Source organism: Homo sapiens, chromosome 2 (genome assembly GCF_000001405.40).
Source record: "Homo sapiens chromosome 2, GRCh38.p14 Primary Assembly".
Lineage (NCBI taxonomy): Eukaryota > Metazoa > Chordata > Mammalia > Primates > Hominidae > Homo > Homo sapiens.
The window spans coordinates 99,403,276-99,418,208 of NC_000002.12; the positions used below are offsets into that span (position 1 = coordinate 99,403,276).

Here is a 14,933-nt window from a genome sequence, read left to right on the forward strand (position 1 = left end):
TCCAATTCTCTCTTTGCTTTGCCACTTACTAATTTGACCTTTGGCATGTTGCTCATCTATGATGGGTAGTACTAAATGTGGGTTTGATGTTTGTGATGCATTTTGAACCAACATCCTTTAATGTATTCATCTCAAAGGACAACTAGCTGAACAAGTATTTAAGACATTTGTGGTAATGTCCTATTCCAACTTTTTAAAAAGTAAAAAGTGGTGTGTTTAAATCCTGAAAGTACAGACACAAATCCAACTAGAAATATGATGATATTTACTCATACTGTATACTTCAGATATTATCCCAATATGAAGAGCTCTTAATGCAACAGCTTAGACTTTGCCCATTATATACTGCAATAATTAGACAACAGTGACTCCATTACTCTTTGTCTTCATTTTTGTTACATGCCACTTCCAAGGCTCACCAGATGCGCTGGCTGACTGCTGGTGAGTGCTGTTCTCGCCCTGCCTTTGTCTTTGATCATACGCTGCTTTCAGCTCCCTCTGAAGTTCAGCAGGAAGGGCAGCAAATACCTCAGGGTCCACCTAGTGGAAAAGACGAGGTCAAAGTCAAACCTGAGCTAATTGTAGATGGTAGCTGGTTTCTCTTTTTCACAAAACAGACTTTGTTTTCAAATCTCACTTTTCTGATCTGTACGAATTCTTAACAGTTCCCCAATATCAAAGCTGATTAAATCTTCAAAATGGTTAGAGCAAGAATAAGGAATTAAGAGCAAGAATAAGGAATTAAGAGTACTAACTTAAAGAAACCCACTACAACAGCAGAACCTGGGCAAAATGCACTAGTAGAAAATGGGAAGCAAAACATTGAAACAGGGACTCAGGTTGTTACTGTCCCCCATGCAGGATTATACATCTCCGCTCTGTTGTATTCAAGTGTGGCCATTGATGTGTTTGCCCCAGATCAGTGTGTTTCTGTCTTAGCATGCCCTCCCCCGTCTCTTCCCTGCTGCTTCAGCGGGAGGCTGCTCTGTGTCTACATCCTGCAGATGCAGGAGATGGAGACAAGCCCACTCTCCCCTCCCCTCCCCTCCCCTCCCCAGTGGATGTGGTGTCAGATACAGAGGAGAAAGGGAAGTGAGACAGGTCCTAAGTTGGAGCAGGGGGGTGAGAATATTGAAACTACAGCAGAGGGTTCCCATATTTAACTTACCTGTGAAAATGCTGGAAGGGCTATTAAATTTATTCCTGCGTCACTGTTCGATTCTTGAGGTTCTGGTATTTGCAACAAGACTGTCCCAACTGGTTGTGGCAAAATTCCTGTATTACAGCCATTTACTGGTTCTTTCTTTTTGTCGCCATGTGACTCTGCTTGCTGGACAGCACAGACTTGCTCTACTTGTTCCCGGAGATCAGGTGGAAGTGCTTCTAAAACAGACTGATCCAGCTATAAAATGCCAAACATATGAGTAGGAAGTTAAAGCATGCTCAGAGATGAGGTGTTTGGGAGTTAACACGCCACTTTAAATTTCAATTTGAATACTGTGGATAATCAATGTAAGGTACAGACCATCAAGCTAGGAAAGCCACCTCCAAATCAGCACATTTTTGGAACGTCTTGGCCTTTTGTCATTGAAGCCTGAAGTACTATGTGTAGTCTGGAAAGAAGTGTATATATACTACCAGCCACTATCACATGACCAGGTAAGTCCAAATATACTCACAGAATGTCCTGCAATTGGGGCCAACAGATATGAATAGCCTTGGTGAAGCTCAAATTAGATCCCACCCCAGGGAGGGGTGAAGGCCTGAGGCACATGTTAAAATTCTGGACAGGTAACAGTCCTGGGTCAAAAGTTCACCTTTCAGATGAGAGACTGCCCAAAAATACAAATAATTCTACTCTGAGAGCAGCACACTGGAAGAAAGGGTTTCTAGAAGCTGAATTTTCTCTAACTTACAGGACAGAATCCACTGTTCCTTTGGCCAGGGCCTACCTGTGCATCCACATCTGGCCCTTTGGAAACATGCAATCCCATCAACTGGGTGGACCAATCTTATCTTGCCAGGAGTAACTAATTGTGGGTATCTGTCGCCATACAAGCATATCAGCATTGCCCTTTCCCCTAGTTTTGCAGCCAGTATTTAACATCTCCTTCCGCCTCCTTCCATGCAGGGGGAGCAGAGGCACAAATAAACTTGCCCAATATAGCTTAAGGTGCTACCTTACTTTCAAGGACCAGCAGTATATCACATGTACAGCCCACACACGCTGAATTAAACCATCCAAATCTCCAGAGACCTGTTTGCAAATACTGCAAAAACCCTTCGACATAAGGCCTCTACTTCACCACTAATCACCAAAGCTGCCTTGCTGAATACAGTAAGTCTGCATGATGACCACTGTCACAGACAATGGCAGTCCACAGGAGGACTGCCTTTCAGCTATGCTTTACAACTTGCAAGAGTGGCAAATCTTTGCAAAAGCACTTTCACTCAACCCAAATATTGCTTATTTAGAATCCAACATCATGATCTACCCAAACAAGTGGCCCGTTCTCCCTTTCTTGGTTAAACGGATGAAGAAATAAAAATGCCATTTTCATTTGTAAACTTGTATTTTTGTATTTATATTTAGGAGTATAAAATGTACTTATATTTAGGACTACAAAAATGTACCTGGGAAGGTGACGGGACCTCTATACTCAGGTTAAGTCTCGACTGCACACTGACAGGAGTATGTAGACCATTCCATTTCCCTGAAGACTCAGCCTTGTTAGTATCAGGACTGGTCGGCAGATGTGCAGGAAAAGGTGGCAAGAAAGTGCAAGTTCTAGAAGCAGATGATATTTCCAGATCCACAGCAGCCCGAAATACTACAAAAAGAAAATATATAAAATAGCCTCTTCAGATCATCGGGCAGGGCCTTTAATCCTCTGTCCATTACAAATAAAAAAACTTTATTACTGATTCATCATAATGAAGAATATAAATTTTTAAAATCACATAAAGCTGTGTCAATTTTAAAACCAACTGCCGTCTTTCCAAGGACATAAGCAGCACCTAAAAAAGAACCACATTGATGACCACCAACCTTCTTTGTGCTCCTCTTCGGTGGATTTCTTAGCTTTCTGAACTTGGAAGACATCACGGACAGAGTATGACCCACTAGGAAAGTGGCTTGACTGAACTGATGGGCGACTGGGACATGTGGAAGGGTTCAGATTAGTTGGAACCAACTGATTCACGTGAATCCCAACCTAGAACCCAGAATAAAGAGTATGCTTCTAGGAAAACTAAAGTGAAAATATGAATTCAGCTAAGCAAAATCCTCAGCAAATCCTTTTCACTATCTCCTGGATCCTGTTTCTAGAATAAAGGTAAATGAAAGTATTCAAACAGCATTCTATATGACTTATTACAAAAACAATTTCTAAAGTAGCTAGTGAGTGGTCATTCATCTCAAACTTCAGAGTATCCAATTCTCCCAAAATATACCAAAAGATCTTTAAAATCAGAAAATCCAAACAAGTGGAATACTGTATTCCACTGATGTTCTCGTCAACTAAGGTTTTAAATTAGGATAAAAAAAAATTAAGAGAGGACAGTCTACTTGGAAACTTCACTATTTTTATCTTTTTTAAATGAAATACTTCTCAAAAAATATTGGCGGGAGTGATGAACAGCAGGTACACTGCAGACCCCTCCATAAAGTGCCATTATAACAGTATTTCAGGGAGAAATCACAATTACGGCTGGCTTAGTGACTAATCTTTCAACAAAGCCCACATCAAGCCAGAACAACCCTTTACTTACATATGCACACATAAAACTAAACCTACAAAGGTTCTTTTTTTTTTTTTTTTTTTTTTTTTTTGAGACAGAGCCTCACTGTGTCACTCAGGCTGGAGTGCGGTGGCACGATCTTGGCTCATGCAAGCTCTGCCTCTTGGGTTCAAGTGATTCTCCTGCCTCAGCCTCCCGAGTAGCTGGGACTATGAGGCATGCACCACCACACCCGGCTAATTTTTGTATTTTTAGTAGAGATGGGGGCAAGTGCCTGTAATCCCAGCACTTTGAGAGGCTGAGGTGGGTGGATCACCTGAGGTCAGGAGTTTGAAACCAGCCTGGCCAACATGGTGAAACCTCATCTCTACCAAAAATACAAAAAATTAGCTGGGCGTGGTAGCGGGTGCCTGTACCCCCAGCTACTCGGGAGGCTGAAGAAGGAGAATTGCTTGAACCCAGGAGGCGGAAGTTGCAGTGAGCCGATACAACGCCATTGCACTCCAGCCTGGGCAACAGGGCAAAAACTGTCTCAAAAAAAAAAAACCCCACACAAAAATCTATGGTTTTGACATTTTGATGCCTCTTGCCTGTTTCAAAGGCATCTTGATGTGCCTGTGGTTTCACTCCCTTCTAGGTCATCATACAGCAGATGCAGAGTATGTTTCTGATTAAAAAGGAACTTAAAGGTACAAAATTTATGTATTCATATTCCTCACAGTCATATCTACTTCTAGGAAACAAGAACAGGGAAGACATGTATATTAGCCCCTGGTTAATCAGGGGTACCTTGGAAAAGTACAGTAAGAATCTAAGAAAATTATTCTAAAATGAAGGAGGTCAAAATGGAGGAAGTCAAGAATTTTTGTTTCTCTTTTCCTTGTATTACAAAGCAGCTAAAGACCTACATATAAAGTCCCTATACACCAGCAATAACCCTTTTGAGAGCAAGCCTCAAAAATGAGAGATACATTACACAAAGTCAGAATTTACAATGTTACTATATACTTACCCCTCTCATATCTGATATATTTAGTTTCATTGTATGAAACATGTTTAGCATCGCCTTTCCAATTATTTTTGCATTATCTGTTGCCTGGTCAAGAGTTACAGTCCTGTAAGTGATAGAATTAAAAAACAAAAGCTTCATTCCATATGTATTCACTAGTACTAAAGTAGTATGGAACTGTTTAAAAGAGTTATAGAAAAGTTGTAAACAGTTACAAAGAAGATTATAAAAGTGAATGCCATAGTCTCCCTTCAAGGAAGCCAGAAATACCAAATTAGTTACACTGGCAACCAAGGGGGAAAGAAAAATTATGGAACACTAGAACTTTAAGGTAAAAACCGTAATGGACACTTAGGTCAACTAAAAATAAGTTGAGAAATTTAGAAAAAGGTAGATTTTAGCTAACATATGCACAAATAAATACATATTTTCCAGCTAAAGCACAAGTGAATGGTAAACACAATGTTCTTGATTCCAAGAGAAGTTTTAGGTTCCAAGATTATGTATGCTGAGGTATAGCAAATATTCAGAAGAGAAAGATAAATTCTCTGTATGTTGTTTCTTGACTCTCCTTTCATTGTGTTTACAGTACAGCCAATAAACAATTCTTAGATCTTTAAGAACTCTTGAAGGAGGACCAAATGGTCCATCAGCATTATTAGGTCTCAAAGATGTGCTGACCTCACCCACCATTTCCTTCAGAGCCTTTTGAGCTTCTCTGGCATGAGCGGGCTGTCCCATTGCAAACAGAATTACTAACTCAGTAACAGATTAACAAATTACTACCAGTTCTCTTTCCAAAGGAAAGTTATTTCGTGTTTTGGATGATCCTTTCCATGTATAATGAACAAATGAAGTTCCAGGCCATTAAACAAGAAATATTCCCAGAAAAAATTATTATAAATTGAATTGGATTTTCCCATAGAAATGTTTAAGAAGATAATCACATTACTTCATCTGCTTATAGAAATAACCACTAAAAGCTGAGCACAGTGGCTCACACCTGTAATCCCAAAACGCTGGGAGGTCAAGGCAAAAGGATTGTTCAAGGCCAGCCTGGGCAACAGAGCGAGATCCTGTCTCTACATAAATAAGTTTTTAAAGTAAATAAATAAATGACCACTATTTACTATTTGAGATACATGTGTATCATAACAGGTAGGTAAATATAATTCAAGATAACCAACTGATAAAAAATGTATTTTATAAATTATGTTCTCTAATTGTAATTTATAATTCCTGCTTTCATGGTAACTTGGGAGTTTCTCTGTTTAAGAGCAGTCGTCTCACGACTTAGCAATATCATCATATACATGAATGCACCATGTATGGTTGGCATGAGCTAATCTTTAATGAAACTATACTTCATATTGTAAGTAGCTTTCAGTGTCAAAAGTCTCAAAATTTTGGTTTCACAGATGAAATACAGTGCAATATAAAATGACATGTAAAACCACACATCTTCATATTGGTCACGAATCTTACATGAAGTTTAATATTAAGTAGTTGGCCCTGACATAAAAGACGAGTGTTTCAGACCGGGCACATTGGCTCATGCCTGTAATCCCAACACTATGGGAGGCTGCGGTGGGCGGATCATTTGAAGTCAGGAGTTCAAGATCAGCCTTGCCAACATAGTGAAACCCTATCTCTACTGAAAATACAAAAATTCGCTGGGCATGGTGGCATGCCCCATAATCCCAGCTACCCAACAGGCTGAGACAGGAGGATTGCTTGAACCCAGGAGGTAGAAGTTGCAATGAGCCGAGATCGCACCACTGCCCTCAGGCCTGGGTGACAGAGCCAGACTCTGTCTCAAAACAAACAACCCCCCCCCCCCCCAAAAAAAACAGCGTTTTTAAATGCTTTTACCAGTTTTCAGACATTACAGTGATTCATTCATCTTTTTACCAATTAAATGTATACACCTATGTAAATGAAGTTGCTCTCCTTCACCATCATTTTTCTAGCTACTATAGTCTGCCTTTGTGTATCATTTTTTTGAGACAGAATGTTGCTCTGTTGCCCAGGCAGGAGTGCACTGGCGCGATCTCAGCTCACTGCAACCTCTGCCTCCTGGGTTCAAGCAATCCTCCTGCCCCAGCCTCCTGAGTAGCTGGGACTACAGGCGAATGCCACCATGTCCGGCTAATTTTTGTACTTTTAGTGGAAATGGAGTTTCACCATGTTGGCCAGGCTGGTCTCAAATTCCTGGCCTCAAGTGATCCAGCTGCCTCAGCCTCCCAAAGTGCTGGGATTACAGGTATGAGCCACCACACCTGGCCTGTATCATTGTTTTTAAGAACTACATTGAAATTTTCCTCAGGAAAAAAGTTTCACCAAGTCCCGAAACTATAGCAGTCCCTTTGGTCTGCAGCCTTGCCCTTTCTTTCTGTCCATGCAGTAAAGTTAACAGCCCAAAGATGCCAAGCAAAGGCTGCCAAGGTCAGCAATGCCGTCAAACCAACCTCCTGTGTGTGGGCCTCGCTGAAACCAAGTGCATTAACCTAAGCTGAATGCCTTGGGCTGATGCCTGCTTCTACAGAATACCAGATTAACGGGTTTACAGGTCTTTATTCAAACTCCTCCTTGGTTTTCTTCATTTTCTATTACTTACAACAACCTGTACTGAAATATAATTACCAATATCATTTCTGAGGTGAGCTTACCTGGCAATGTTATCACAAATTCCATGGCCTCCAAATTTTGCAGTTTCTACAGGAGCCCCAGGCTTTCGTACCATGATTTTGAGAGTTAGACGTTTACCCTTCATGCCAGTGGCTTCTAGTCTTCTTTGAATTTCTTCTGAAAGACTCAGAAGAAAAGCTTCTGCCTCTTTTGGCTATGGAAAGACAAACGTGGAGAAACTACCATTCCACTTTCCTATATACCTAATAATTGTTCTCAAGTATTTTAACTTTGAATATTAAACATGTTGGTTACTCACTATCACGCTCAGCATCTATTAAAAAGAAACGTGGCCAGGCGCGGTGGCTCACACCTGTAATCCCAGCACTTTGAGAGGCCGAGGCTGGTGGATTCGTCTGAGGTCAGGAGTTCGAGACCAGCCTGGCCAACGTGGTGAAACCTCATCTCTACTAAAAATGCAAAAATTAGCCTGGCGTGGTGGCGGGTGCCTGTAATCGCAGCTACTCAGGAGGCTGAGGTAGGAGAATCGCTTGAACCCAGGAGACGGAGGTTGCAGTGAGCTGAGATCATGCCACTGCATTCCAGCCTGGGCGACAGAGGGAGACTCCGTCTCAAAAAAGTAAAACTACAACAACAAAAACTGTTTGGTATACCCTCAACTATTAAATACAAATACCCACCTTCCCAACAAAGTGAAAGTAATGAGTACTTTTAAAAGATATTTTTCCTTTCTTTCCTTTTTTTTTTTTTTGAGACAGTCTCATTCTTGTCCCCCAGGCTGAAGTGCAATAGCATGATCTCGGCTCACTGCAACCTCCGCCTCCCAGGTTCAAGTGATTCTCCTTCCTCAGCCTCCCGAGTAGCTAGGATTGCAGGCGCCTGCCACAATGTCTGGCTAATTTTTTTGTATTTTTAGTAGAGACGGGGTTTCACCATGTTGGCCAGGCTGGTCTCCAACTCCTGACCTCAGGTGATCGGCCTGCCTCAGCCTCCCAAAGTGCTGGGATTACAGGTGTGAGCCACCGCATAGGGCCCCTTTCTTTCTTTTCTATGCCATCACTGACTTGTCGAAAATTCTTTTGTAACTATGTTAATAAGTTCTGCTAATAAAATGTGTGTTCCAACACTGTGCTTACAGCCCAAACATCATCTATCTCCATGCCTAAGGAAACAAAACTCCTGAGGTCCACAGTGTAGGCACAGAGGGTAATTAACTCATCACATTTCAAATCCTTATGATATGGTGTTGTTTGTACATACAAATTCAAGACATATCCAGCCGGGCGCAGTGGCTCACATCTGTAATCCCAGCACTTTAGGAGGCTGAGGCGGGCAGATCACAAGGTCAGGAGTTTGAGACCAGCCTGGCCAACACGGTGAAACCACGTCTCTACTAAAAGTACAAAAAATTAGCCGGGCGTGGTGGCGGGTGCCTGTAATCCCAGCTACTTGGGAGGCTGAGGCAGGAGAATCTCTTGAATCTGGGAAACGGAGGTTGCAGTGAGCCGAGACTGCGCCACTGCACTCCACCCTGGGCAACAAAGTGAGACTCCACCCTGGGCAACAAAGTGAGACTCCATCTCAAAAAAAAAAAAAAAAAAAAAAAAACATATCCAAATCCATAATCTGAAGGAAAATGGAAACTACTCAGCCATCTGTGCTGCAGCTTTCCAAAAGCTTGCATAAGGAGGGGTTTGCTGAAACTTAATTTTAACTACAGCTTAAAAAATATTTCAACATTAAAAATATTTTTCTCATCTTTTTTATTTTTTCACTGTTAATTAGAATAATTATAATCTCAAGTTCTCTAATAACTGGCCTCCAAAGCATAATCTTTTAGTATATTTCCCCAAGAGCTAAGTTTCCTCAGTCTCAGTCTTATCTGGGGCTACACCTTACCACACAGTGCCTTAAAAGGCCTTCTTAAGGCTCTGGGGATACAACAGTTTTAAGACTTAATTTCAAGCATTGAGGGTCTAATGGTTTAGTTGTAGAGGTAGGACTATGTAAAAATATAAAGAGCAACAGATGGCAAAATCTGTTCAATGATCAGTACCTGAGTAAACCTTATTCCATAGTTGATCTCAGCTGAAACAGATTTTCTTTCCTTTTCAGTTCGAACTGGTCTATCATCCAAGCCACGGCAGAACCTATAAAGCATCTGACCTGTTTTGGGACCAAATTCTTTTTGGAGTTTTGCCATGGTCATATACTGCAAGTCTCCACAAGTTTTAATTCCCAAAGATGCCAACTTAGATTCCATTGAATGTCCAACTCCTAGGAAAGGGAATATAGTTAAGTATGCAGAATAAGCTACTAATAACAAGTTTATTAACACAAAATACCCACCATTTATGCACAAAACAACTAGTTTAAAATAATCTTTAAAGTCTTTAGGCAACATAACTGAAGCATCCACAGGCTGAAGAATTTTTTGGTGCAAAATCATGCTAGTAGATGTATTTCTAGACTCTACTTCTCAATTTGGACTCCACATATAGATGAACCAGAAACTTTTAAAATATGTATAACTCAAGTTATCAAAAATGTCACTTTCTTTATTAGTGAATAATACCAAGATATGTATCTTAGTCACAAAATCAACTAAGGAATCAACTGTCATTTAAACAAGTCTATAGTGTGACTTACAGACATACTAACCAACTCACGAAATGTAAGGGATCTATTATGATTTCGGTCATCACCAAATCTCACAGTGGTATCAGCCACATTTTTTCAGTGAAAAACAGAACAAGAATTCACAAAATGGGCCAAAGTCCAGAAATGTTACATGCTATCACACATACCACTGACCTGAAGATGAAGGACCCTAACCAAACCAACTGGTGGTTGGGGTAGAAGACAGACTTTTTTTTTAATCAAAAGGATGATCTCTCTGAAGAGATATGAACTCTCCTACAGCTGGGCCAGCAGGCAGCAGTCCCTATGTCCTATTCTGCAAGATGTAACGTTTGAGCCCCACCTAAAGGATACTGATTAATTCTGTTGCTCTAAGTTGGAGTCTTGGTTTTCTTCAATTTGCCCTAAATGCTTTAAAAAGGTCCACAAATTTGGGAAAGAGGTTTGGAGTAACTGAGGGAAACTATAATGCTTATTAAAATGGTTCCACACCATCAAGTAAAAATTTTCCATCAATGAGGAAAAGACAGCGTTGTGTTTCTGGTCTTCTGTAGGAACTTATCAAAAGAGAACTCAGGCTGGGTGTGGTGGCTCACACCTGTAATCCCAATACTTTGGGAGGCCAACAGTCTGAGTTTGAGGACAACATGGGCAACTGAGGTAGACCGTCTCTATAAAATAGAAAAAAGAATTAGCTGGGTGTGGTGGTGCGCTCCTGTAGTCCCAGCTACTTGGGAGGCTGAGTTGGAAAGATCCCTTGAGCCCGAGAGTTTGAGGCTGTAGTAAGCTATGAACCTGCCATTCCATTCCAGCCTAGGTGACAGAACAAGACCCTGTGTTTAAAAAAGAGAGCTCAGAGTGAAGTCTGCTAACTTCTGTTCATAGCTCCCATCCTCCTGAGTGGTCTTCAGTAGCAGAAAAACTATCTAGTCCAAGTTCTGCCAGGAAAACCTCTGGAACCAGTATATAACACAAGGTTAGGAAGTCATCAATGTGGGTCAGACAAGTTTAAACCCAGACACTTTATTCCTTAATGGAAGTGAGATGAAGGCGTTAAGCGTGCTCGTTCACAATTGTGCCATTTTAAAGTCCAAGCCAGAACAAAGGGCAAGTAAATACCAAAGACCCCGAGTTAACAATTTAAAAAAAAAAAAAAATTCCTCCAGAGAAGTACCATTCACCAAAAGGTAAAATTTTAAGTGAAACCTAAGTGCTTTTCAAAATGGGGAGGAGAAACACAAGGGAATAGACAAATTACATACTTGGGTTTGTCAAAGGTAGACACTTTGCACAGCTATTTGCTTTTAAGAAAGACTTTTTTCTTCAATTTGCTCTTTTTGTTATTTCTTTTTTGTCATAAGACTTCTTAACATCAGGGAAGACTTTGTGTCTCTCTTTTGTCCCTCCCACTATTGCCTCACTTCCCACTCCCATAATCTGACCATGATCTTTCCGTTACAGTTCTGGGGAACAAATCTGTTCTCAGGGACTTCCAAGATTAGCAAGAGACAATCATCATCCTGGGTTGTGTTAGTGTGTCCATGTGTTGGGGTGGAAACCCCATAGTTTAAAATTTTAGAGTATCTTGAGTATACCACAACAAATTATGCACTACAGGTGCAAAGGAAAGGCTATATTAAACATCACCAAGTTAACCGTAATCAATCTAATCTAAGTGGACATCCCTCTATGAAAGAAGCACAGTTCTTCTCCATGCAGGCTCATCTGATGGAATGAAATGGCCTGAACCGGAGGTGGGGGAGGGAGGCAGGGCATGTGGTGTACCTCCAACTCCTATTGAGTGGGGGTGGGAAAATTAAACTTGGAGCCAGGACCAAAACCTTGAAGAGGGCTGCTAGTTTTAACTAAATACGTCAATTAAGTAGGTGTTTATAAGGGAAAGATGGCAACTCTATGGACAAAGTAAGGGGGGCTCCGGGCCCAAAGAGTGCAGCCACCTATTAAGGAAAAGGTGAAGGAAAATATGCTCTTTTAGAATCAAATCTCAACGAAGAGAGAGTCAAGGAGGCTCCTGGTCAAGCAACTGGGACAAAGACTTGGCATCTGTCCTTGAAGGGGAACTATTACCCTAGGTTAAAAGTGGCCAATAATGTCCCCTCCTTGGCATCCAGAACTTGGCTATCCAATACAGACATAGAGGAGTAAACTTCAAAGAATAAAGTTTTCACCATCTACAGGAGTGCTGTTCAACTGAACTTTCTGCAGTGATGGAAATGTTCTCGTCTGCTATCCAATACAGGAGAACCTTGCTCCATGTGACCACTGAGCACTTGCCATGTGGCCAGGGCAGTGAGGAACTGAACTGGTAGTTTTATTTAACTTTAATTTAACTCATATTGTACTAGCTTCACTTGGCTACGTAGCTACTGTATTAGTGCAGACTTTATGAATGCCTACATGATCATGGTGGTTCTCTGAAAATGGGATAGAGAGGGAATCCATATGCTAGATGCACAAACCTAGCAAAGGCTGAATGAGGTGCAGAGGGCCCTTCATTGAAGAGTGCATGCGCAGGTAAAAAGCCCTGCAAAGATCCAGAGAAAAAGTAGAAATGGTTCTTCAAACTGTAATAGTCGTTGGGGTCAATCCTTTCTTTCATTAGGTAACCGGATCATATTAAGAAACGTATTTATTAGTGTAATACACAATTATTATTCTGTGGAGTCTCCTAAAGCAAAAACTTACTATTGTGTTTTTCCTTCTTATGTAGTTATTCTAATTGTTTATTACTGTGCGCAGCACGTATGTGGTCACTAAACATTTATGGGTACAAGGGACTAAAGAGGTTGGAGATGGGGCAAGTTACCACTGAATTTCTCCTGGTTATGGTTAGAGAGCCAAGTTCCTCCAAAGCGTGTTCCACAAGATATAAATAGGTACTGTATATTTATCACCAAATATCTTTGAGAAATTACTAGTCTTTAACAAAGATAAATAGGTTTCTTTTCTAAAATAATTCCCAGGACTTTCACTGTACAAACCCCTCCACCACAGAAGGTTCCCTCTCCTATATGAAACCCCTTTTTAAAGGAACAGCTTATAATCTGTGGAACACACTTCAGGACAGGAGTAACAATGGAGAAGGGAGATATTTTATAGACCTGAAATGTTCTATAACAGTCAGGTTAAGGATTTGGGGATTTTATGAAAACCACATGAACCACTGTGAGCAATACAGAACCTGGCTCTGAAGAAGAGAAGGCCAACTCTGCTGCCCTATCTTTCAAATCTCCCTTAGGAAATTCAAGGCTGTGCCTCAGCTTGGCCAGGACATGTAACTTCACACTTGCCCTTCAAGAAATAAAGTCTCACTGGGCACGGTGGCTCATGCCTATAATCCCAGCACTTTGGGAGGCCGAGGCGGGCGGATCATGAGGTCAGGAGACCGAGACAGAGGTGAAACTCCATCTCTACTAAAAATACAAAAAATTAGCCGGCTGTGTGGTGGGTGCCTGTAGTCCCAGCTACTCGGGAGGCTGAGGCAGGAGAATGGCGTGAACCCAGAAGGCAGAGCTTGCAGTGAGCCGAGATCGCACCATTGCACTCTAGCCTGGGCAACAGAGCAAGACTCCATCTCAAAAAAAAAAAAAAAAAAAAAGAAATAAAGTCTTTCCAGCCAGGAAGCAAATGAAGGTGAATGGTAGGATTACTAGGTCAAGTAGCTAAAACGTCCCTATTTCTATTAAAACAAAGAAAACTACAAAAAGGGTTCGATTTAAAGATGGTGTTTTGGACTAAACTGTGTCTTCCCCAAATTTATATGCTGAAGTCCTGACCCCAGTACTTCACCATGTGACTGTATTTGTTTTTGTTTTGTTTTTTTCAACACAGTCTCACTCTGTCACCCATGCTGGAGTGCAGTGGTGCGATCTTGGCTCGCTGCAACCTCTGCCTCTCGGGCTCAAGCGATTCTTGTGCCTCAGCCTCCTGAGTAGCTGGGACTACAGGCATGTGCCACCTACCCCCAGCTAATTTTTTTTGTAGTTCTAGTAGAGACAGGGTTTCACCATGTTGGCCAGGCTGGTCTTGAACTCCTGGCCTCAAATGATCCATCTGCCTCGGCCTCCCACAGTGCTGGGATTACAGGTGTGAGTCACCATGCCCGGCCACAGTGTGACTGTATTTGGACACAGAATCTTTAAAGGGTAATTAAGATAAAACAAGGTCATATTGATGAGCCTAATCCAACATGACTGGTATCCTCACAAGAAGAGATCAGGACGGAGACATGCATATGGGGAAGGCCATGTGAAGACACAGGGAGAGGAGGGTCACCTACAAGCCAAGCAGAGGCTTCAGAAAGAGCCAACCCTGCTGACACCTTGATCTTGAACTTCCAGCCTCCAGAACTGTGAGACAACGCATTTCTGTTGTTTATGCACCCCAGTCTGTGGTACTTTGTTATGGCACCCCTAGAAAACTAATACAGATGGCTAGTGTAATAAACTTAAAACTCAAATTTTACATGCAACTTTAAATATACCAGTTCCTTCTTATATAAAACTTCAGTAAGATTTCTTATTAAAAATGTTTAAACTGTGTTGTCTACTACAGTAATTTGCTAGTTTGATTTTATAAAGTATTCTCAAATTAAATGTGAAACTAACCATCAAAAATGTCATATTACACATTTCTGACACTAATACATCGTTTTAAGTTATATACTACGGGGGTCAGGAAGCTTTAAAACTAACCTACCATAAAATGCCATTTCTGTCGTTTAATATTTATGGCCTGTTAACAGAAACTTCTAAGTTAGTTCGGACATACTTTTATTAGGCTTAAAAATAGGCATCTAAAAATGCCACTAAATCTACTTTTAACAAATGAATTTTAAAACTTTCACTATAAATGAAGATGGAAGACTTTACAA

The 14,933-nt window shown here is 41.1% G+C and overlaps 1 protein-coding gene across 25 annotated transcripts in view, besides 1 other annotated feature; it reads right to left on the bottom strand.

Annotated features, from left to right (window-relative positions):
- REV1 (REV1 DNA directed polymerase) overlaps window positions 1–14,933 on the bottom strand; it is an 89,726-nt gene that overhangs the window by 2,799 nt on the left and 71,994 nt on the right. For 23 of the 25 annotated variants that reach the window (NR_135652.2, NR_135649.2, NR_135650.2 and 20 more), the window contains 7 exons: window positions 9,456–9,676; window positions 7,420–7,592; window positions 4,754–4,856; window positions 3,050–3,215; window positions 2,635–2,831; window positions 1,169–1,402; window positions 420–540 (listed from right to left, as the gene is read on the bottom strand). Coding sequence is in view for 20 of the 25 variants with exons in the window: in XM_017004311.2 (XP_016859800.1) it covers window positions 420–540; window positions 1,169–1,402; window positions 2,635–2,831; window positions 3,050–3,215; window positions 4,754–4,856; window positions 7,420–7,592; window positions 9,456–9,676 (1,215 nt within the window). In the remaining 5 variants the exon portion in view is untranslated. The remainder of the gene's footprint in view (window positions 1–419; window positions 541–1,168; window positions 1,403–2,634; window positions 2,832–3,049; window positions 3,216–4,753; window positions 4,857–7,419; window positions 7,593–9,455; window positions 9,677–14,933) is intronic. The other 2 variants (NR_135651.2, NR_135653.2) reach the window with 1 other exon arrangement.
- Window positions 103–1,302: an enhancer, noted in NCBI's record as "CDK7 strongly-dependent group 2 enhancer chr2:100019841-100021040 (GRCh37/hg19 assembly coordinates)". NCBI's record gives its function as "activates an origin of replication core promoter dependent on BRD2, BRD4, P300/CBP, MED14 and CDK7 cofactors, with strong dependence on CDK7, by STARR-seq in HCT116 cells {active_cell/tissue: HCT116}" and the evidence as "EXISTENCE:reporter gene assay evidence [ECO:0000049][PMID:35650434]".